Source organism: Homo sapiens, chromosome 6 (genome assembly GCF_000001405.40).
Source record: "Homo sapiens chromosome 6, GRCh38.p14 Primary Assembly".
NCBI classification, from domain to species: domain Eukaryota; kingdom Metazoa; phylum Chordata; class Mammalia; order Primates; family Hominidae; genus Homo; species Homo sapiens.
In genome coordinates this window covers 5,245,289-5,268,418 of record NC_000006.12, presented here as the reverse complement: position 1 = coordinate 5,268,418, position 23,130 = coordinate 5,245,289, and the positions used below count along the sequence as shown (strand labels likewise).

The 23,130-nt window shown below is 42.1% G+C and overlaps 2 protein-coding genes across 33 annotated transcripts in view, besides 3 other annotated features; one reads left to right on the top strand and one right to left on the bottom strand.

Moving 5' to 3' along the window:
• FARS2 (phenylalanyl-tRNA synthetase 2, mitochondrial) overlaps nucleotides 1-18,485 on the bottom strand; it is a 521,650-nt gene extending 503,165 nt beyond the window's left edge. For 14 of the 23 annotated variants that reach the window (XR_007059196.1, XR_926027.4, XR_007059198.1 and 11 more), the window contains exon 1: nucleotides 6,759-6,906. The gene's annotated coding sequence lies outside the window, so the exon portion shown is untranslated. Of the gene's footprint in view, nucleotides 1-895; nucleotides 978-3,340; nucleotides 3,430-6,300; nucleotides 6,907-7,027; nucleotides 7,413-18,465 lie in introns of those variants that run through there. The other 9 variants (XR_007059197.1, NM_001318872.2, XM_047418087.1 and 6 more) reach the window with 6 other exon arrangements.
• Nucleotides 7,389-7,608: a silencer, noted in NCBI's record as "silent region_16874". NCBI's record gives its function as "represses an Ori minimal core promoter by ATAC-STARR-seq in GM12878 lymphoblastoid cells {active_cell/tissue: GM12878}" and the evidence as "EXISTENCE:reporter gene assay evidence [ECO:0000049][PMID:35858748]".
• Nucleotides 7,469-23,130, top strand: part of LYRM4 (LYR motif containing 4) — a 229,198-nt gene continuing 213,536 nt past the window's right edge. For all 10 annotated transcript variants that reach the window (NR_134856.1, NR_104418.1, NR_104417.2 and 7 more), the window contains exon 1: nucleotides 7,469-7,771. Coding sequence is in view for 7 of the 10 variants with exons in the window: in XM_017011084.3 (XP_016866573.1) it covers nucleotides 7,686-7,771 (86 nt within the window). In the remaining 3 variants the exon portion in view is untranslated. The remainder of the gene's footprint in view (nucleotides 7,772-23,130) is intronic.
• Nucleotides 7,669-7,978: a silencer, noted in NCBI's record as "silent region_16873". NCBI's record gives its function as "represses an Ori minimal core promoter by ATAC-STARR-seq in GM12878 lymphoblastoid cells {active_cell/tissue: GM12878}" and the evidence as "EXISTENCE:reporter gene assay evidence [ECO:0000049][PMID:35858748]".
• Nucleotides 8,189-8,238: an enhancer, noted in NCBI's record as "active region_23902". NCBI's record gives its function as "activates an Ori minimal core promoter by ATAC-STARR-seq in GM12878 lymphoblastoid cells {active_cell/tissue: GM12878}" and the evidence as "EXISTENCE:reporter gene assay evidence [ECO:0000049][PMID:35858748]".

The following is a 23,130-nucleotide window of genomic DNA, read 5'->3' as shown; positions in this document are numbered from 1 at the left end:
TGTAGAAGCTGAAACTGGATCCCTTCCTTACACCTTATACAAAAATTAATGTGAGATGGATTAAAGACTTAAATGTTAGACCTAAAACCATAAAAACCCTAGAAGAAAACCTAGGCAATACCATTCAGGACATAGGCATGGGCAAGGACTTCGTGTCTAAAACACCAAAAGCAATGGCAACAAAAGCCAAAATTGACAAATGGGATCTAATTAAACTAAAGAGCTTCTGCACAGCAAAAGAAACTACCATCAGAGTGAACAGGCAACCTACAGAATGGGAGAAAATTTTTGCAATCTATCCATCTGACAAAGGGCTAATATCCAGAATCTACAAAGAACTTAAACAAATTTACAAGAAAAAAATCAAACAACCCCATCAAAAAGTGGGCGAAGGATATGAACAGACACTTCTCAAAAGAAGACATTTATGCAGCCAAAAAACACATGAAAAAATGCTCATCATCACTGGCCATCAGAGAAATGCAAATCAAAACCACAATGAGATACCATCTCACACCAGTTAGAATGGCGATCATTAAAAAGTCAGGAAACAAAAGGTGCTGGAGAGGATGTGGAGAAACAGGAATACTTTTACACTGTTGGTGGGAGTGTAAACTAGTTCAACCATTGTGGAAGACAGTGTGGCGATTTTTTTTTTTTTTTTTTTGAGACAGTCTCGCTGTGTCTCCCAAGCTGGAGTGCAGTGGTGCGATCTCAGCTCACTACAAGCTCCACCTCCCAACTTCATGCCATTCTCCTGCCTCAGCCTCTCGAGTAGCTGGGACTACAGGCACCCACCACCACATCCGGCTAATTTTTTTTGTATTTTTTTAGTAGAGACGGGTTTTCACTGTGTTAGCCAGGATGGTCTCCATCTCCTGACCTCGTGATTCACCTGCCTGGGCCTCCCAAAGTGCTGGGATTACAGGTGTGAGCCACCACGCCTGGCCTGGACTGTTCTTTTCATGGCAAAGCTCCTAGAAGAGAGAAAACAAACTCTAAATAAATAATAGCTATCATTACAATAAGCTGTAGCTAGTTTGATTAACAAATCATCCTAAAATATCCAGACAATATGAAAACATTATTCCTAAAATACTGGTCCCTCATATGCAGCAAGAAAGAAAGAATGAAAGTGATCTATAACAGATTACAACAAATCACACTGTAAAAGAATTCTCATGGTGGTCGGGGTTTGTAGCATGAAAAGATGGTTTCTTTCCTTTACAATGAAAAGAATTAATGAGTTTTTTTTTTTTAAGAAAAAAAACCTCTAGAAATAACTGACATTTGAAATACTTTACACAAAATAAATTGTCAATTTTGTTGTTACTGCCCACAAATACGGGAACCCTTAGCCTCCAATCAATGAAGCTAGAGTGTCTAGTTGCAACATATCATAGCTTTCAAGATTTCTCAAAACAGAGAACAGATTTTCATAAGTATATCTGAAAAAAGCTTCTACAGAAATGTGAGTCTCAGAGAATCCCCCAAGAGGAAATGTCTCACATACACACATAAATAGACAACCTAAAAAAGCACTACGTCTTTTCAAAGAGATGTTAATAGAATAAAATGTAAATTTATCTTAAATAACTAAAAAGCTAGTATAAAATCAACATTTGAGATTCCCAGAATATTTATAATATTTCCAATACAAACCGGTTAGCTTTACAAATAAGTGAGAATCCAACTAAATTAAAATTCAAATATGACTGAAATGTACCCATGTTATCCAAGAAAAATCAATAACCTTCCAATTCCTGAAGCTGGTACTTTATCTGTGAAGCAGTGTTGTATCATAGCTAGACAGATCACATCTCAGGCCAAGGTCCACACTAGCTACTTTCCAGCTGTGTGACCCTGGCTAAATAAACTCTCAGCTTCATTTTTTTTTCTTTTTTTTATTCTATTTTATTGAGATGGGGTCTCGCTATGTTACCCAGGCTGGCCTCAAACTCCCAAGCTCAAGTGATCCTCCTGCCTCAGCCTCCCACAGTGCTGGGATTACAGATGTGAGCCACCACACCTGGGCAGCTTCACTTTTCTTAAATGGAGATAACAGCTCTTCCATCAGGTCATGGGAAGACTAACTCAAATCATATCAGGATTCAGCTCATCTCATGCCTAAAACATATGAAAGCCGATGTATTACCTTTTCACGGGATCTCCCCGTTCTCACCCTCATGCACTCTACAGCTCTGGCCAAAGCCTTCCGCAGGTCATGATTGTTTTTTCTTAGACCTCAATCAGGGTTTCTCCTTCATCCTTTCAAGGTAAAGGGTGAGTCATCTTCCACCTACAGTAGCCATCTTACCACCACATTCAAACATTTAAATCCTTCAATTCCTTTCAAGGCCCAGGAGAAACTTAAATCCTCTCAAGCCCAACACAAACACTACCTCCTCCATGAAGCCCCCTAATTCCTTCAGGTCAATGTTTCTCAGCCCTGGCTCTACCCAATCATGGAGAGAATTTTAAAAAAAAATTAAACAAAATTATCTGAAGCCTGGGCCTTAGCACTGCTGTTGGTCTGAGGTGTGGCCCAAGCATCAGGGATGAAGTGACCTCTCCTTGCACTGAGACCCCACAACGCTTCAGCAGCCCTTTGTACAGGATGGTAGAAAAGTTATTGCTGTTTTCACCCTTAAAAGTAACGGTCAAAACTGCAGCTACTTTCACCAACCTAATACCTTATTTTAATCATATACAAATGCATTTAAAGTATAAACTTCTGGAAAACAGGATCAGTGTTTGATTTATATATCGCCCTCAAGTTACCACAACAACAGTAACTTAAATTGCTAGGCTGCCAGCTATCTCTTGAATGCACAGGTAAATAAATAACATTTCAGTGCCTCTGGAATATAGGATTCAAAGTCATGATTTGAAACAAAAGGTTATCAGTACCTGAATAAATAATCTCCATTTCAACAGCTCAGCTGTTAAGTTCTACTTATATAACTCAGCCAATGCATAAGGGAAGAAATGATTTATTCCAGACAGAGAGAAAACATCACTAAAATAAAGCTAGTACAGGGCTAAACACTTCAGTGGTCCCTCCCTTCCCACCTCCTACCATTCTAAAACACTTAAGAGTTCTCTAAATAGATCAAGCACCCTTCTTCCTCCATGCTTGGATATACACTGCAATCTTTAACCACATTCCTCATCTGGCTTTTACTTCTCATTCTGGAAACACCTTCTACGATGGAAAGCCTTCCCATAGGTGAAACTCCTGGTTCAATATTCCTCTTCCCTATTCCTTTAGCGTTTACTAATATTACTCATATCGCAGCAACTGTCAAAAAGAAATTATTGGCCAAGTGCCACGACTCACAGCTATAATCTGAGCTCTTTGGGAAGCCAAGACAGGAGAGGCACTGAGGAGTTTGAGACCACCCTGGACATCATAGTGAAATCTCATCTCTACAAAAAAAAAAAAAAACACTTAAAAATCTGCCAGGCATGGTGGCATGAGCCTATAGGCCTAGCTACTCAGGAGGCTGAGGCAGGAAAATCACTTCAGCACGGGAGTTTGAAGTTACAACGAGATATGATAGCACTACTGCACTCCAGCTTAGTAAACAGAGACCCTGTCTCTATAAAATAAATTATTGTTTCGCTTATCTAGTCACCTACAAGTTTCTTAGGGGTGGGGAAGCTCTCATCACTGTGACTATATCATCTTATATAATATATGGTACTTATGGGCCGGGCGCGGTGGCTCACGCCTGTAATCCCCACACTTTGGGAGGCCAAGGCAGCTGGATCACCTGAGGTCAGGAGTTCAAGAAAAGCCTGGACAACATGGTGAAACTCCATCTCTACTAAAAATACAAAAAATTAGCCGGACGAGATTGCACCATTGCACTCCAGCCTGAGAAACAAGAGTGAAACTCTGTCTCAAAAAAAAAAAAAAAGAAAAAAGAAAAGAAAAACCATAACCTATAGTACTTAGGAAGTGTTCAATAAATGCTGAAGGAATGAACGAATGAGGAAAAAGTCTTCAGTTTGTTCATCTGTACAAATGAATGAGTTGATATCTAAGGTCTTCCCCCTTCCCCTTCGTGTTCTATTAAAATGAAGGATCAATGTATAATACTTGGATTCATGTGTGGTGTAGAATAGAATAATTTCTTTTTGTTGTTGTTGTTGTTTTTTCTTTTTGGTAGACAGGGTCTCACTCTGTTGCCCAGGCTACAGAGCAGTAATGTGATCATGGCTCAATGCAGCCTCAACCTCCAGGGCTCAAGCAATCCTCCCACCTCAGCCTCCCAAGTAGCTGGGACTACAGGCACATGCCACCACACCCAGTTAATTTTTGTATTTTTTGTGTAGAGGTGAGGTTTCGCTATGATGTATTTTTTGTATAGATGGGGTTTTGCCATGTTGCCCAGGCTGGTCTCAAACTCCTGGGCTCAAGCAATCCACCTGCCTCAACCTCCCAAAGTGCTGGGATTACAGGTGTGAGCCACCATGCCCAGCTGAACAATTTCTAAATAATATCGTAAGTTACTACTACTATACAAATTTTACTTTATACATCATTTTGATATTTAAGCTTAAGGACAGTAAATTGTTGTTACACTGTTTATTATGATTAGAGAAATTTCTCTTCACAAAGCATTAAGTGGTCATTAACAACCCTAATTTTAATAGAAGGTAACACATGATCTTCCATAAAGAACTACAGGTAGTCGATAACTTTTGATAAATGAATACTAAAGAAATTTTTACGTTTTGATGCCTAAATGGTACCTCCTGTTTTACAGATACTCTCTAAGAAAAATTTCAACCCAGAATAGAATGACTATTAAAGGACGTATGTGTAAGGTCCATTCTTCAGCTTCTGGCCCAAATCTACTTACAATCTCAAATCGAGTTATTTTTTTTAAGTCATCTCCGCAATGAAGATGTGCAAAAGTGAGATGTAGCTACGGAATGATTATTTTCTTTTAGCCTCTCCAGGCAATGATGTCCAACACATTGGTAAACCATTTTAAATAAAATAATAAGGTATTTTTATGAAGACTTGGCTCAGAATTAACTGGGAAGCCTATCACTTTCCTAACTGCAACCATTGCTCGTACTAACAGAGGACTAAGCTACCCAAACTATTTAAACTATACATATTTATTTGGAAAAGTTTTATTTGATTACAACAAAGTTGAGTAATTTAGATACATTAATTATGTACGTTAATGATTAAATTCCTTGATAATTAGGTAGAAACAATTGTATATAGTAATTATTCCAACTTTACTCTCAAAAGCAAAATATAATAAAATAATGTAATCTTTGCTATTTTTAAAAAAGCCAAAATAATCTTCAAGTTTTTCCTTTTCACTCTGATAGCATTCTCTATCAGTAACTTGCATTAATGTTGTAGCTTTGAGGTGCCGCATATCATTTCATATCACTGGCACACAATAGTGTATCAAGAGAAATCAGCTCTGAATCTTACTCTATAACAATGTGCAATTGCCTTGGTCTTGGATCCTTTAAGAAATAGCAAAGGGAAAACTCAAAAAAGTCCTTTCAATAAAGCAGAGGCTAGATTTGCTCAATGACCTGACCAACCAGGAAGTAATAGAAGTTTTGCTATCCTGTTTAAAAAATAATAATAAACAATAACAGACATGAGATTTTCAAGAAATCAGGGAGGAGACTTAAAGATATCTTAATAAAAGTATTTTCTCTTCAGTGCCTTTTAAAAAATGTCATTGCATCAGGATTAGTAAGAATATCTGGATGCAAGGACACCAGGTTGCAAGTACACTAAAGAATGGTAAGGTCAGAGAAGTGTTTTTTCTGCCTTTAAAGTTCCTGAAAATAGAGGCTGGGCGTGATGACTCACACCTGTAATCCCAGCATTTTGGGAGGCCGAGGCGGGCGGATTGCCTGAGGTCAGGAGTTCGAGACCAGCCTGACCAACATGGTGAAACCCTGTCTCTACTAAAAATACAAAAATTAGCTGGGCGAGGTAGCGCGCGCCTGTAATCCCAGCCACTCAGGAGGCTGAGGCAGGAGAATGGCTTGAACCTGGGAGGCATAGGTTGCAGTGAGCCCGAGATCCCGCCACTGCACTCCAGCCTGGGCGACAGAGCGAGACTCCATCTCAAAAAAAAGAAAAGGAAACAGAAAAGTTCCTGAAAATATAAAGTTGTTTAGACATACAGCAGGTATATCGTTTCAAAACCAAATACACTAAAGCAGATGAGAACACAACCGTGACCAAGTGGTTCGGAGAAAGATGGATTTTAATGCAAAGTTGTTTTGTTTTCACGCATAACGTACTTCTCGCTGTGCTTGAGTGCAGAAAGGTGTGGTTCTTCCTAAGGTTGATTACATAAAGCAAGATTCCAAAAACAAGAAAAGTGCTTTGCAAACACAGTAACTAGGACTGGCTGAAGCTTCCTGCGTCCAGTGCCATGCTCAAAGATCAGAACAAGCAACTTTATCCACCACTTTAATAAGATGATTCAAAAAAGCTGCAGTCTTCTGAAGAAAGCCATGGTTGAAAACTTGCTCCGCTTCTTGGAGAAAGCCTAAAGCCCTAAAGGTCTCTAATTATTCTCCAAAGTCTACAACCCAAGCTGCATTTTATGCATTTATTAGGTTACAAAACCACGGGAACTCTTCACTCAAAAGCAAAAACACATCCGGAAAGAGGAAAAAATCCACGGCCAATGTAAACCCCCTACAACACCAACCGCCCACGTCGTACCCCAGGCTGCAATGAGGCCGGCACTCACCCACCGCTCGCCCGGGAAGCCCAGACCCAGGTGTTTCAAAATCAGAAGTACGGCAGGCTCGTTCGCTCTCACGGGCAAGAATCTTAAACCCCAACTTCAGAGATACCCGCGCACGCTGGGCGCTGCCATTTTGACAGAAAGCGGGCCTGCCCCAGAGGCCCCTACGCAGGTCGCCCTGAGCAGAGCCGGAGTGCCACAGAACCCCTAGCTCATCACCTCCACACCCAGACGTCGCATCCCCCGGCCTGAGGAATGCCAAGAAACCCCACCCTGCCGACCAGGATCAGGCGAAATCAAGTCACCCTTGAAATCCCGCAAACTCTCTCAGGCAGCGCCGAGGGCGACCGCAGCCGGCGTGGGAGGGGCATCGGCGGTCAGGGGCGGGGCGTCGGTGCGGCGGCCTTCGGTAACCCGGGCAACGCGGCCTCCTGGATGTAGGAAGGGGCGCTGCCCCCGAAACACAAATGTCTCCGCCAAGACCCCAGACGGTTCCCAAAGGCTCTCCGTGATGCAACTGCACGTCCCTCGAATGCCTGGGCCTCCGATATCCGTCCGCCAGGAGCTTGGCTGGATGCACGGGCGGCCAGTCCTCTTATTTCCCCGCCCTCCCGCCGCGTGGAGCGGCTGCTGGGTCCCGAGCCTCCGGGCGGGGGCGGGATCGGGGCGGGGCGGAGGCATCTCCCTCCCAGCACCGCCCCCTTAGCTGCCCCGAGCCCTGCCTGCGCCCGCCCCCGAAGCGGCGCGGGACGCCTGGCGCCGTCCGCGATCCGCAGGGCTGCCCGCTTAGGCTTAGGCCCGGCCCGCTGGCAAAGCCGAGCCGCAGCATTTTATTTCGTTCGTGGTTTCCGCACAGGCTGGAGTTTCGTGGGTTGGGTCGTACTTGGGACCTCGGCGAAGAGGACCCGTTTATTTTTTTTTCTTTCCAAAATGGCAGCCTCCAGTCGCGCACAAGTGTTATCTCTGTACCGGGCGATGCTGAGAGAGAGCAAGCGTTTCAGCGCCTACAATTACAGGTGACCCAGCGGGCACCGGGGGCCGGGGGCGGGGGGCCAGGGGCCGGGGACCGGGGGTGCGGGCTGACGCGGAATATCCCCGGGGACTGGGAGCCACCGTGGTTTGCCGGCGGCTGCGAGGCAAGGACCGGGCTCCGCCATCGAAAAGCGTGCTCCTGCCTACAGGTGTGGCCTCTGAGACCTCGGGGAGGAGCCTTTCTTTCTACCAGGGGAGACGTTCATGTCTTGTGACGTTTTCCCCCTAAAGGCTATCTTGGTAGTTATTCTAGGAGCATGATTAGTGTTATGTTTCTGCAGAAGAGAAAAAAGGGATGGAAATCAGTCATTTGTGAAGTTAAGGCCAGTGTGTTGCATATGTAAAACTTCCCTTGAGCACTGGAAGAGTTGAGAGTGGAAGTGGCCAGTGAGTAGTACACTGCGACAAAGCTGAAGGCACACTCTAGCACCTCCCTAAAATTTCCTAGGTGTCGTAATGAGTTCTTTTGGTTGCAAGAATCCATTCTATTTAGGGTATGGTGGAAATGCGTAGCGGAAAAGGAAAAAGGGTCTCACAAGCTTTGGAGCTGAAACCTCAGTTTCTCCTGGCTCACCAGACAGAGATCCCGCTTACTGGACCTTGACAGCAGGATATTGAGGGCCTAAACTCACATCTTTAATATAACACATTCACTTTTTCTCACGCCTCCCCACTCCCCTATTTGCCTATGAGTCTTTTATTGTTACTCTTTGTATGTTTTTTCTAATTCAGAGCCTCTGCTTTCACAGTGTTGCTGGTTCTGACCCATCATTTTCTTATGGATTCTCTCTCTGCATTTTTTTTTAGATTTGTTTTTTGTTTTGTTTTGTTTTTACTAACTACCTGTCTCTCTCTGAGTTTGAGCCATATTCCCATGAGAAAGAATCTGGTTGGATCAACTCATCTCTTTACCTCAAGCCTCACTTAGGTGACTGGCCAGACTGTGGATTGGATGTCATAAGAGCAGAGCCTACCCTTGGAACACACCTGGTTAGGTAGGCCCCCCTCCAGCACGTGTGTGAGCTGGCAGGCCCTGAGATGGGTCTGCCCAGTACAACCTCTGTCAGAGGACAGGAACGCTAAGCCTCTTAAGCAATGACTCTCAAATTTTTAGAAACCCGCCTGGAAAATATACTCATGCTGCAAATTTGAAAACAGCATCTGGGTCATACCACTGAGGTTGTATCCACCCAGTTAAGTGGTTAAATTTCACGGGAGAGAATGATTTTACTTAATGACTTTGACTTTGGAGAATAAAGAGTGTAATAATAAGCATACTGGTGGAATTTTAGCAAGAATTAACCAAACACCTAGCACCAAGTACTTAACCAAGTCTGTTGAGGAAACACATGAAATATGCAAGTTAAATAAATAGAAACCATTTGATTTCACCATAGTCTGGAGTAAAATAGTTTGTCATTAAAGCTTACTCAGGATACACAAGGACTTGGAATCAGCAGGCAGTTCACACACTAAGGAAAGTGGCAGGGAGAGGGTTTATGTGAGAGCATGTAAGAAAGTCAAGGTGGAGCCCTCGAAGACTAACTTGGACAAGTCTCTCAATCTCTGTATTTCAGTTTTCTTGTTTATGAAATAGACTGTTGGACTAGACAATCTCTAAGGACCCTTCCATTTCTGAAATTCTCTTTGGAAATGATTTATGAGCAAATGAGGCCCAAGCGTTTTCAAATGAGTAATTGCCAACTGAACAGGAAAATCATTCACGAAACTCAACAGGAAAATCATTCAAACTTTAGGAAAATCATTCAAGACTCTACCTGAAAGGCAGAAAATTGAAAATGGGTTTCAGTATGGGCAACTGTAAGATCATATGCATTCAGAAAATAATTGATCAAATTATACCTTAAGCATATACTTTTAAGCTAAATTTACTATCCAAATATAAATATATTATCCAAAGGAATCTGATAATCATTTTATACTGTTACCTGAGATCATAGACCTAAAAACCGACATTCCTGCTATTACCTCCCTAGATAAACTTACTTGTTATAAAAATACGTCCTTTTACATTAAGGCTGTGTCTTGTGAATTTCAGGAAAAGTCCCTTCCCTCCTCTCTAATCTCTGCAGCTGTTTGTCACTGATGGCAAATCAATAGCAACACAACATCCACTATCAATTCTGTGTGCCACTGCTATCTTATGTTCTTCATGTCTATTAACACATTTGTTTTGACAATAATCTTGTGAGGTAGGTACTATTTGTATTACCCTGTAAGGCAACTGAGGCACAGGGAGCTTAAGTTACCTATCAAAACTAACACAGGTAGTGCTGAATAAGCAATCAAAAGCAGACTAGTAAACGTTTTTTAATGACCTGCGAATTGTGCCTTAAGTAATTAGAGTAGTGAAATAAATACTTTGGAACTCTCTTGCAAGACCTATAATATAGGCCACGTTTTGATAGCAGGAGCCCTGTCTGCTCCTCCAGTCTCAGCCTAAGTCCCACATGTGCATCCTGTCCTCTGTCATCATCAGTTGCAGTTTCCTAAATGTGCCACGTCCTGTTGGGCCTCCAGGCCTTTACAAGTACTGTTCTATCCAGCAGGCCCTTTATCACTCCTGTCTAGAGTGCCCCCTCTTCCTTCAAGATTGAGCTCAATTGTCACCTTCTCTGAACAAAAGTTTTCCCAACTCTCTTCATCCCACAGCTTCCACTCCCATCCCTCCCACCAGCCAAACAGGTCTCATTGCTGTGTGTCATTCTTTTACCTCAGTGCTTCTACAAAACATCTCTGAAGCATGCTTTGCCCAGTGCTATATCACAGCTATCCCCAACCTTCTTGGCACCAGGAACCAATTTCATGGAAGACAGTTTTTCCATGGACCGGGTCAAGGGAGGGGATGGTTTCGGGATGAAACTCTTCCACCTCAGATCATCAGGCATTAGATTCTCATAAGGAGCATGCAACCTAGATCACTCACATGCACAGTTCACAATAGGTGCACCTATGAGAATCTAATGCCGCCGCTGATCTGACAGGAGATGGAGCTCAGGCCATAATGCGCACTCACCCACCGCTCAACTGCTGTGTGGCCCGGTTCCTAACAGGCCACGGACCAGTACTGATGGGTTGGGGACCCCTGCTATACCAAGCCCTGGAGAGAGAAAGATGAGATTTTTGAACTAAGCTAGGCACCTGTTATCAATGGCTTTACAGGCCTATGTGGGACACAGGTACAGAGATAGTTGTCACAGACTGGGTTAAGTGCTGTGACAGAAGGATGTACAAGGTGTGGAATCTAGAAGGCCTCCCAAGGGGTGATGTTGGATCAAAGGCATGAAGCAGCTTGGTGTGGTCAGGCAGGCAAACAGCACAGCACTGCCAGGGAGGTAAGTATGATGGGGTTGGGGGGGCGGTGACAGGAAGGCACTGAGGTTGGAGAGGGCCACTGATTTGAGGGCCTGGGGGCCGTGCTGAGGACCCTGGACTTTACCCTTAGCTCACAGGCAGCCACTAACCTGACATGACCAGATTTGCATTTTCTGATAGATCACTCTGGCAGCAGTGTAGAAGATGATTTTGAGGGGCCAAGGACATCAAATGGGAGTTGATTACAACAGTGCAGAGTAGAGATTAGGACGCTAGTAAGGACAGGAATAGTGGAAGATAGAGAAGAATGTTGTATTTGATAAATCATTAGAAGGGAAAATTGTTGGAACTGGAATGATTGGATTGAGGACTAAGGAAGAAGAGAATCCAAGCAGAGTCTAGAATGGCATCCAGGTTTCTGGTTAAGCTAAAGCACAGAGAGGGTGAATTTAAACTTGCACCATTAACTGACTCAGGTAATACAGAACTAGCTGGTCTTGTGGAGAGAGGGTTTTTTAGTTCATATTTAGGGTATCTTGGGTGTAAATTTCCCCTGGGATGCCCAGCAGAGGTAGTTAATCACAGGGCTCTGAAGCTCAGAGGAGTGATGAGCACTGCAGTAGTCAGCACCACCAACTCTGTGTGACCCCACGCAAGTCACATCACTCTCTGTTCTGCAGTTTCTTTATAAAATGAGAGTCATAATTGATCCATCTCACACAGTGTAAAAGGGTCCTGAGACCAATAAGTTTAAGAACCACATTCTTTTTTTTTTTTTTTTTTTTTTTTTTTTTTTTTTTTTTTCCAGTTGAAATCTTGCCCTTGTTGCCCAGGCTGGAGGGCAATGGTGCGATCTTGGCTCACTGCAACCTCCACCTCCCAGGTTCAAGCAATTCTTCTGCCTCAGCCTCCCGAGTAGCTGGGATTACAGGTGCCTGCCACTACGCCTGGCTAATTTCTGTATTTTTAGTAGAGGCGGGGTTTCACCATATTGGCCAGGCTGATCTTGAACTCCTGACCTAAGGTGATCCGCCCACCTCGGCCTCCCAAAGTGCTGGGATTACAGGCATGAGCCACCGCGCCTGGCCAAGAACCACATTCTTAAATTTTGTCTTCTTGGCTCTTCTTCAGCCAACTCCTTCAATTCTGATGTTCCCTAGAATAGCATCCGTAGCCACTAATTTTCTCACCTTAAACTAGGATTTCTCAATCTTGGCATGACCAACCTTTTGGGCCAGCTAATTCTTTGTTAATGGGGGCTGTAGTCGGCACCACTGTGGTGAGTTAATACACATCAAGTACTTAGGATAGTCCCTGGTGCAGAATAGGTACTTGATAAGTGGAATTATCATCATAAGTCAAATTAAAACCTAGATATTAGATGAATTATCTAGGAATACTATTTAGGTTAGTAGTTCTCATCCTGGGGTGATTTTATTTGACAATATCTGAAGACGTTTTTGGTTGCCACAACTTGGAAAGGGGGTGCTAGGCATCTGAGGCCAGGGATGCACAGGGGACAACCCCCATTAACAAAGAATTAGCTGGCCCAAAAGTTTGGTCATGCCAAGATTGAGAAATCCTAGTTTAAGGTGAGAAAATTCGTGGCTACGGATGCTATTCTAGGGAACATCAAAATTGAAGTAGTTGGCTGAAGAAGAGCCAAGAAGACAAAGTTTAAGAATGTGGTTCTTCAACTTAACTGGTCTTAGGCCTTTTACGTTCTTAAATATTACTGAGGACCCCAAAAAGCTTTCATTTATGTGGGACGCATTTATCATATTAGAAAAAAAAAGCTTTTAAAAACACCTATTTTAAAGTGACTAAATCCATTATGTTAAATAACACTTTTATGAAGAATAACCATTTTTCCTCCCCCTAAATCAGCAGATTGATAGTTTGACACTAGTGCAAGTCTCTTTCATGTTTGGCTTAATAGAAGACAACTGGGTGCTTATATTTGTTGCTATCTACAATTTGTTGCTATATCACATATCACTTAGTGTCTAGTAATTTCCCCTGTATACTCATGAGAGAATGCAGATGTCTTCCTGATAACTATGAAAATAGTTTTCCTGGTGGATCCCCTGAAAGGTCTCAGAGACCCCCGCCATGGTCCCTTGGCTAACTACTGTAGGGTTGAAGAAATGGGAGGAGATCAAGTAAAGAGTAGTGTTGCAGAAGTCAAGATAGTCATATGTTTGGGGAAGGTAGCTGTGGTCAGCAGGGTGGCTTGTCTAAGCAATATCCAGTTCATAAAGAGGGCAATGTAGAGCCTCTGGTACCATTACCAGAGCAGCATTGTTAGTCAAGTGGTTATGGCAGAACCCAGATTGTGGGGGTTGAGACATGAATCAGAAGTGCGTAAATTGCTGCCGTGAGTAGAGATACCCCCTCCACCTCCCACCGGAATTTTGGTTAATAAAACATGAGAGTAGATAACCGATAGAGCAGGACCCCACGAGAGGTGAAAAGTGGTACCTGAGAGCACAGCTGGTGGGGTTGGTCTTGGACAGAATGAACGGTATTTCATTTTACATGAGTGGAATGAAGGAGAAGAGGGCAAGTTGGAGTATGAGAGGGTGGAAAGTTGAGTTTATTTGTGCCAAGCCTGACAGCCAGTTTCTGGGTTAAGCGGGAGATAAGCAGATGTTGAGGAAGCACCTGTTCTTACCTTTGTTAGGGCACATATCACACATACACAGTTACCAGAAATTCTGTCTTATCTCTATTCCTAGTGCTTAGCATAGTACCTAGGTAGCAAGTTGGTGCAAAAGTAATTGCGGTTTTGGGCCATGAATTTTAAATTATTATAACTAGGATCAAATATATCTTTATTAATCAAAATAGGAACTATTACAATCAACATGTTTTTGCCAACAAGAAATAAGTTTATTCCTGTGGCGTAAAAATCCGTGCTTCGGGATTCTACAAACTCTTGGAAAGCATTTTCTTCATCCTGCTAGTCAAGGAAGCGTTTTCCCTACAAAAAGTTGTCGAGATGCTTCAAGAAGTGGAAGTTGGTTAGCGAGAAGTCAGATGAATATGGCGGATGAGGCCAATTCGTTCAACTTGTGAAGCGTTGGTTTTGTGACATGCAGTCAAGGGTCATTATGGAGACAGTTGGGCCGTTTCTGTTGACCAGTGCTGGCTGCAGGCATTGCCGTTTTCAGTGCATCTCATGGATTTGCTGAGCATACTTCTCAGATGAAACAGTTTTGCCGGGATTCAAGAAGCTCTAGTGGAGCAGACAACCAAACAGTGAGCATGACCTTTTTTTGATGCAAGTTTGGCTTTGGGAAGTGCTTTGGAGCTTCTTGGTCCAGCCACTGAGCTGGTCATCACCAGTTGTCACATAAAATCCACTTTTCATCACACATCACAATCTGATCGAGAAATGGTTCATTGTTGCATGGAATAAGAGAAGACAACACTTCAAAACGATGGTTTTTTTTTTTTTTTGCTCAGCATGAGGCACCCACTTATTGAGGTTTTTCACATTTGCATTTTGCTTCAGATCGAACGACCATCGAATGGTCAACATTGAGTTCTTTGGCAACTTCTCGAGTATTGTAAGAGGATCAGTTTCCATGATTGCTCTCAATTGGTCGGTGACAACTTCCAATGGCCGGCGACTAGGCTCCTCATCTTCAAGGCTCTCGTCTCCTTTGCAAAACTTCTTGAACCACCACAGCACTGTACCTTTGTTAGCAGTTCCTAGGCCAAATGAGTTGTCGCAAGTTGTCGCTGCAGCTTTTTGACCAATTTTGAGCTCAAATAAGAAAATTGCTGAAATTTACTTTTTGTCTAACATTATTTCCATAGTGTAAAATAAACATAAACAGCAAGTCATTAGCAAAAAAAAAAACTGAGAATTGCCCATTAAAATGATGTATAACATAACCACATTTATTTAAGAATTTATTCCAGTATCAAACAGCAAATTCCAGCAATGCAAAAACTGCATTCCTTTTGCACCAACATAATAAATATTCATTGTTGAAATGCAAGAGAAAATTATATTCAATGTATCCCTCTTATAGCTTAAGAAATATGTTATTGTAAAACTTGAGAAAAGGCTAAAGTGATGCCCAAATGCATACCAAGTGTAGTGTCAGAACTCCCTAATTCTTCATCAGATATTTGAGTTTTTATTAATGTGTTATACACTAAGCATTGTGCAAAGAGCTTCAGATCAAAATGAGCCTCCTATTAAGGGTAAAACATTACAAGCTCCTAAAGAAGTTTATCAATGAAGTACAAAGGAAAGGCCATAGAAAGGAGCTGGTCTCCTAAGTGCCACCTTAAAATTAGGAATGCTTTTGACCAGAAGTCATAGGAAGCCCTTACACAGGGCTTAATTGGGGGCTTATTCTTCTCACATAGGAAAGGTCTAGAGGTATGTAGCTGCCAGAGCTTATTTAGCAGCTAGAAAATGTCAAGGTATGTGTGAGTCTCGGTGTTCCTCTCATGCTTATGCCTGATGGTTGCAAACAGCTTTTGAAGCTCCAAATACATCCTTATTTAGTCAGGAAGAAGAAGGGCAGTCACAGCCAGGAAAGGGTAAAGCTTTCCAGGAGGACTCTGCTTTTGCTCATTGACCAAAACTTCATTACGTTTATATCACTAGGTAAACAACAGGCTGGAAAATTAGGATACAGCTATTCTAGCATCTCTAGTGAAAAGACAGCAGAGAGAAAACGGTGGGAAGAACTATTGATTAGGCAACAGTCTGTGTCAGCCACAGAGGTGGACATGCGATGGAAGAGCATTCCAGGCAAAGACAGTAAGGCATGTGAAAAGTAAAATGCAAGGCGTGTGTCAGAACCAGACGTGGGTAATTGTGGCTGAAGTGTTGGACTGAGCTAAATGTCATGATGTTAAATGCTAGGTAAAATCCCCAGTAAGTAACGAAATAGGTTTCAAGGCAGAGTGAGGCATAGAGAGGAGAAGCAACTTGATTGGTCTCACAGTTGGTCAAGGGCAGAATGGGATTAGAAGGCCGCCTCGCTCCCCGTGGGCTGCCGCTTCCACAACCCCATTCTTTTCAGAAGAAAATTCCTGCACCCATGCATCCTGTGAATAAGCCTGCAAAATCTGTAGAAACATCAACCTGGAGAAGTTTATTTTCACAGTTCCTCCTTATAGGTGAAATGGTTAAACAGGCTCCCTAGTTTCATGAGTGGTAAAATTCCTAAGTCCTGATCAACCTAAGTGCTGATCAACGTCAGGTCTCGCTTACTATGTACTACACAACTGAATGAAACACTGATATCTGTGATTGCTGTCTTAATGAAGGAACCAAATAATGATTCGTGTTTAGGAATCTGTTTTCTTTTTGAGCCATTGGAACTCTTTAATATATTACCAGTCGCAATCCAGATTTATTGGCAAGCTGAGGAATTAGAACCATGAGCTCCTGGAGTGGGAACCAGGCAGCCCTCTCACTCATCAAAGGATTTCTTTCACATGTTTTCCTTGTTGCGGATCTTTTAACAGTGACTGCCTCTTCCACCCTATGTGTCACTGATTGATCAAGAAGGCTAGCATGCAATGATACAGTTTGGATGTTGTCTCCACCCAGATCTCATGCTGAAATGCAATCCCCCGTGTTGGAGGTGGGGCCTGGTGGGAAGTAATTGGATCATGGGGGCAGGTTTCTCATGAATAGTTTAGCACCATTCCCCTTGGTACTGTCCTCACAATAATGAGTGAGTTCTCATGAGATCCGGTTGTTTTAAAGTATGTGGCATCTCCTTCCTCGCTTGCTTGCTCCTGCTCTGGCCTGTGATGTGTCTGCTCCCCCTTCACCTTCTGCCATGATTGTAAGCTTCCTGAGGCCTCCCCAAAAGCTGAGCAGATGCCAGCATCACAATTCCTGTACAGCCTGCAGAACTGTGAGCCAATTAAACCTCTTTTCTTCATAAATTAGCCAGTCAATGTGAGAACAGACTAATTCAAATACCACCCTAATATGAATAGTATTAACAAGCACCTTTCACTTTGTAAAACAGGGCAGCTACAGTGAAAGCCTTCATGCCAAATATTCTTCTGGAGACAAATCAACAAATCCATTTCTTCCTAATATTTCTTGAAAACTCACAGTGTGTGTGTGTGTATGTATATATTACCACACTAGAACCTAGTAATAGGTGGAATCAAACACAAGATGGCCCTGCTGTCACAAGATTGTAGTATGGTTGCGCATATGCAATGTACATATAAGGACGGCTCAAGAAACTTACAGAGGAAGCATGCAAATTGAAATAGTGCCCGAACAGTGGAGATTTGCAGAATGTACTGGGGCTGAGGAGACACCTTGCATAATGATGTTTTGGCTGTCATATATCGTATTACAGAAATATTTTTTAAATAACATTGTATTCTATTTTAAGCAGCCAAATAAGAGTTTTGCTCTCTATGAAATGTTGAACACATCATACATGTCTGTAAAAATTGCTTTCACTCTTTTATTATACCATATGTAAGAACATAGTAAAGGAAGGGAAAATTAAAAGAGAAAAAGACTGCTTTGTAAAATTTTCTAAGTTGTTTCCATATCAGTTCTTACGTTTGTTCTGAATTTATATTACTGGATTTCATATAGAGCCTGTGGCGCTGTATTACAAAGAACTATTGTTACCTGACCTCTTCAACAATGCTCCACAGGCAACTAGAGGTGATTCATGTGTGCCTAAAAGCAGTTTCTTAGACTTTTGAAAGATTATTCATTATTGTTAAATATGCTGGAGTTTCCAAAAAACATTTTTTTCTCTTACATTGCTAAGTTCTGCCAGGTTTAATGATAATGGTTTCAAAAAATAAAAATAGTACGGTTAACTTAGAGTAGAAAATATTTAAGATATTTAGATTGAGAAAATTATATAGCAGCCAAGGTTTTGGGGTGAAAAATAACATTCTTTTTTACTCTAGATATTAAAGCAAAGTGTTAAAAAGTTATTAGATCTGCGTGTCATTGCTGATTTATTGACTGTAGTTTACAAGAGTTTCTAAATTGCACTTATTCTATTTATACTTTGCCTTGGCCTTTAAAGCATTTTTAAAACTTACAAAAATACATATAGTAAAATATAATAAAATAAAATACTTGTTATAATTAAAAAATAATGAGGGAGTCAAAGCAATGAGAAAATAAAGATAGAGAATATAAGAAAATGAGGAGTAAAGTTAGGCCAAAAAGTACAATTATAAGTAAATAGAATTTTCTTAAAGTATCTCTAAATTATTCTTTGTTGCAGTAGGATAATACTCTTTTGTATGCTAAGTGTGATTACAAAACATTCTGTTTGAAATGGCTATAATGAACCTAATAGAAAATTACCTCTTAATGACTCATGTCAATAGTCATATGCAGACTTTGCTGAGGATGAAAGGTACTTCATGTCATATTACTTCTCCTGTATACCCCTTTCTTCACACTGAATCCCACCTCATCAGATCATAGATTTCATTTCTCTTAGTATTTCCCCAATCAACTGGTACCTAGCCAATTTAGGAAAGTTCTGACCTTCAGAAACCAAATGAAGTAATAAAACTAGGTAAGTTACATGAACCAAGCTGAGAGTTTCTAGATTTAGCAAAGTTCAGCTCAGTTAAGGCGGGTCCTCCTGGCTGTTGTCGGGATCTGTGATAGGAATGCAAGTTGCCAAGGTTATGACATAATGTATCACTGTGATATCTTAATCATCTGTGTGGTTTCATAGGTTCTCATTGGAATTCTGTTTGATTGTATTAATAGTTCTCTTAACTCAGACGTTTTGAGGTTAAAAAATAGATCGCAGAAATGATCTTTCGTGATAAAAAAAGCAAAAATCACAGTGACTTCCTTCTAGAAATTTCCCCTAATTTTCTTTTCACCCTATCTTTCCCCAAAATTGTGACTCCTGAACTACTTTGACTTACATATTATTTTCAGTATAATGGATGAGTATCATGAGTGAGGCAGTCTTGATTTAGAAAGATTTCTGGCCTTTAAATTAAGAAACCTTGACTCAAATTTTAGGCCAACTGGTTTTTTTATTCTGTGACCTTGGTATAAATCATTTACTCGCTGTGTGTCATCTGTAAATTGAGACTACTACAGTTGCAGAACTTTCTAGCAGAATATTTGGTATTCTAGTAGGTACTCCAAAATCATTTCTGTATTTCAGCAGATACAGATGAATTAATTACTACATAGTTGTCTCTTACACTGGTAGTCCAGCTGCCAAATCTTTGAAATTTCTCATAGCTAACCGTCACTTTGCCAATTCAGTTAAATTTGTTGAACCATATACTTAACCAGATATTTATTAGTCATCCAAAGAACTCTGTCACTGTAATATGTAGCTTTGATATGATGCTTGTTTGATGTTTCATTCAGCAAACATTTATTGGGTACCTGCCTTGCGCCAGACTCATTGTTCCTTGCTGAGGATGCAGAGATAAACAAAACATAACCTTTGCCCAAGAGGCACCTGTAGTTCGGGGCATAGACTGATAGATTCCCTGAAATTTCTACAACAGCATGGTGACAATATACCAATAGTGAAATGGAACAGAATATTGTGGAAGCAGATAGGAGAGACAGCAGCCTAACCCGAAAGGGGATCGGAGCTGAAGAAAGCAGTGGTGGCTGACCTGAGCTGTGAAGGGCTAGTAGGGACTAGCTGGGGAAGGGAGGCAGGAGCAGATGAGAAACAAACAGTGTAGTTGGTGTTGGCTGTAAGGAACTACTAGCACTCTGTGTTGCTGATGGCATGTAGTGGGAGATGAGGGTGGAGACAGGTGGGACTACTAATCACAGAGAGCTTTGTATGCTGTGCTAAGATAAGATGCTAGAACGTGGTCCTCGGCATTGAAAAGCCATTCAGGTGTTTTCTGCAGATTGCAGACTCTCCTTTAGCTAGCTCACCCCATATAGAAAAGACGCGGAAGACATAGAGGCCAGTCAGGAGGCCATTGCCCTAGTTGAGTTTACTCAGATGTTTCCAGAGGCCTGGCTACAGCAATGTGACAGCACAGGGAGAAGGGGACTGGCTTTGAGGTATGTTGATAAACAGAATTAGCTGGCCTTAGTGTTTGGTTGAATATGTTGGATTAGAGAGAACAAATCAAACTAAGGTTATGAGAATATCATTGGAAGAAGAAAAGTTATTCCAAATGAAGCATCAAACGTAGAGGACACTGCCTTCTTGGTATGAGGAAGACATTTTTCTTGAGTACCTTTGTGTACAGTATCACTTCCTGAGAGCATCTGGACATTGCAGGCATGATCTTAAAGCAGGTACCTGGATCTGGGTGTTAACTTAATGTGTAGCCCTCTATATCTGCTTATTTCTCTCTTTTTCATCCAGTTTTTATGTATATTTTCTATATTAATGTTAATAATTTGCCGATTAATTATAACTATAGTAAATAACTATAACTGTAAACTATTAATGTTCATCATTGCTCAATTAGTTGATTATGTCTGCTCTCAGAGTAATTTTTTTTTATTTAATGGATGGCTGCTGCCCTCATTAGACATCACTGATGCATCTATTAAGCTGTATGTATTTATTCTTTTGTTCCTGGTGTGATGTTCTGAAAGGGTTTACCACCCTCTCCCTTTGGCCTAGTTTATTCCAAGTTAACTTACGTGATCAATTCATTGTAATTATGAATATTACTCTGTAGCATAATTACTGACTTAAGGATTTTATACATGTTTTCTGCATATTCACTCAGATATTTTCCCTATACAGTTAACTCTCCTCCACATCTGATTCCTAAGAGTGATATTGTTTTAACCAGATATCACTTCTATAGGCAAAAGTGTCTCTTAACTAAAATCTCCTTTACGCTTGACTAAACAAAAAGCTAAATTAAATGAGAAAGCAATTCCTTGCAGACAGATTGGAGCCAGAAAGGATCATGGATTCTCCTGTCTTAGTCCAGTTGTCTTTTATTCATCCAGCAAATCTTGTTTGAGCACTCACTGCATCCGGTAGTCTAGTGTTCTGTTTCTCTCCTCCTCAGACTAAGAATCAAAAGCTTCCAGCACTGTGGGGGCCTCTGGACTTGGGGGGACATTAACATAGTGAGCATAGCATGCTTTTGCCTCAAACTTGAAACTTGAGGTAAATTCCCAATGGGGGTATAACCAAACCAGAGCAGACCCTGATCAGGCACCCTTCTGGAATGGGCATTGCTCACAAGCTCTGCCCGCTGTGGGCCGCAGAATCCTGACCGTGACCATCAGTCTCAGCACCCGGATTAGACACATCTCCTTTCCTGTGTCTCAAGGACTGTTTTCACTTGAGGCTCTGACGTATAAAAGTATGTCCAGACACCTCAGATCTCTGTGGGTGGTCCTTCACCCATTTCCCTCTTTGCACTTTCCCTGTAATTTTATCACATTCCGTGGTTTCAATTGCCACCTCTGTGTTTACTCCCAAGTCTCTGTTTCCAGCCCCAGCCCCTCTCCCAAGTACCAGACACTACTCACCTGCCTCCTGTGAGGGCCCTTCCAAGGTACATAGGCAACTGCTCCACATCCACCCAGACCTGCCACAACAAAGCTGGAACTGGGCATTTGTCCAAGACTCCTTCCTCGCCCCAACTTCCCCGCATTCTGTCTGGACACCTCCCAGGCCCACTCCCTCCACTTCACCCTCACTACCTTCACCCATCCCATGCTGACTTCTAACCTGGGTGGCTGTGTCCGTATACCACTCTCAGTCCCCCCTGCACCCTGCCCTCCTTACTGTGAGGTTTCTCAAGTACAGCAGCAACTAACTGAGCTGTGTGCTGGGCACTAGGATAAATGTGGTAGTTGGGGAATTCTTAGGAGGAGGAAGTTCAGTGGTTTCTCCAATTAAAGACCTTGTAAGGAGAACAGAGAACTGAACCCAATCTTTGACTCCAGAACCTGCACGGTCTCACCCAGCCACTCCACCCCCTTGCTTCAAATTTGCCAGTGGCGCCATGTGGTTTCTGGAATGGAATTCATTCTTAGCTTCACATGGCACTCTTGTTCTTGCCTCTCGCTTCCTGTCTACTCTTCATGTCAGCAAATCCAACTTCTTGCATTTTCTTAATAGTGCCACACGGCTGTAGACCTTCATGTGATTCCATATTGTTTCCTATGTTTGGAACACACTTTCCTTCCTTATTAGCAAATTTTTATTCATCCTTCAAAATTCAACTTATAGGTCAACTCTGGGTAAGCACTCTGAAACTGCCCAACACCACCCTGCTCCCTTTTTTTAATTTTTTAAAGGAAAGAAGAAGAATAAGGAAAAAACTATAGTTGTTTCTTATTGTTTTTGGGATAAAGTCCAGAATCCTTACCATGGTCTGTGTTTCCTGCCTTTCTCGCCTTATGTCCTGTCACCTTCCCATTTGGGGATGGTATTGTCACTCTGGCATTTTCTCAGCTTCTTAAATGCTCTGCTCCCTGGTGCTCATGCTGTCCCTCTGTCTTAAGATCTTCTGCACTCACTCGCCTGGACCCCAGCAAGGCACTCTGCAGTCCTGTAAGTTCACAGCCCCATACACGTTTCCACAGTGACACTTGCACCACTTGTAATTGTACATTTATTTTGTTCTGATCTGAATCATGGTTCTCTGGCCTCAGGCTCCAGGAAGTCAAGGACAAGGACTAGATTTGCTTTTGCTCAGTACTGTCAGCCCAATATCAATGCCAGACAGCTTGTGGGGTGCACAAGTCTGTGTGTATGAGTTATGTTTATGGCAGCCCCTCTCTTGTCTTCCAGACACCGTATGCAAAGTCCTGGCTATAACATGTCCCCATCACTCTTGCCACATTTTCACTAGACTGCCATCCTCCATGGGTGTAAGAACTGTGTTTGAGTTAACTGTTTCCACAGTGACAGAACACTGCAAAGCATAAGAACCGTTGGCTGAGTGAACACTGCATGTGTGTGTGCTGCTTATTAACAAGTAGGAGTAAAGGGATTTGGGTGAACTACCGGGGCGGCCATGTTCAGACCCAGTCACTCAC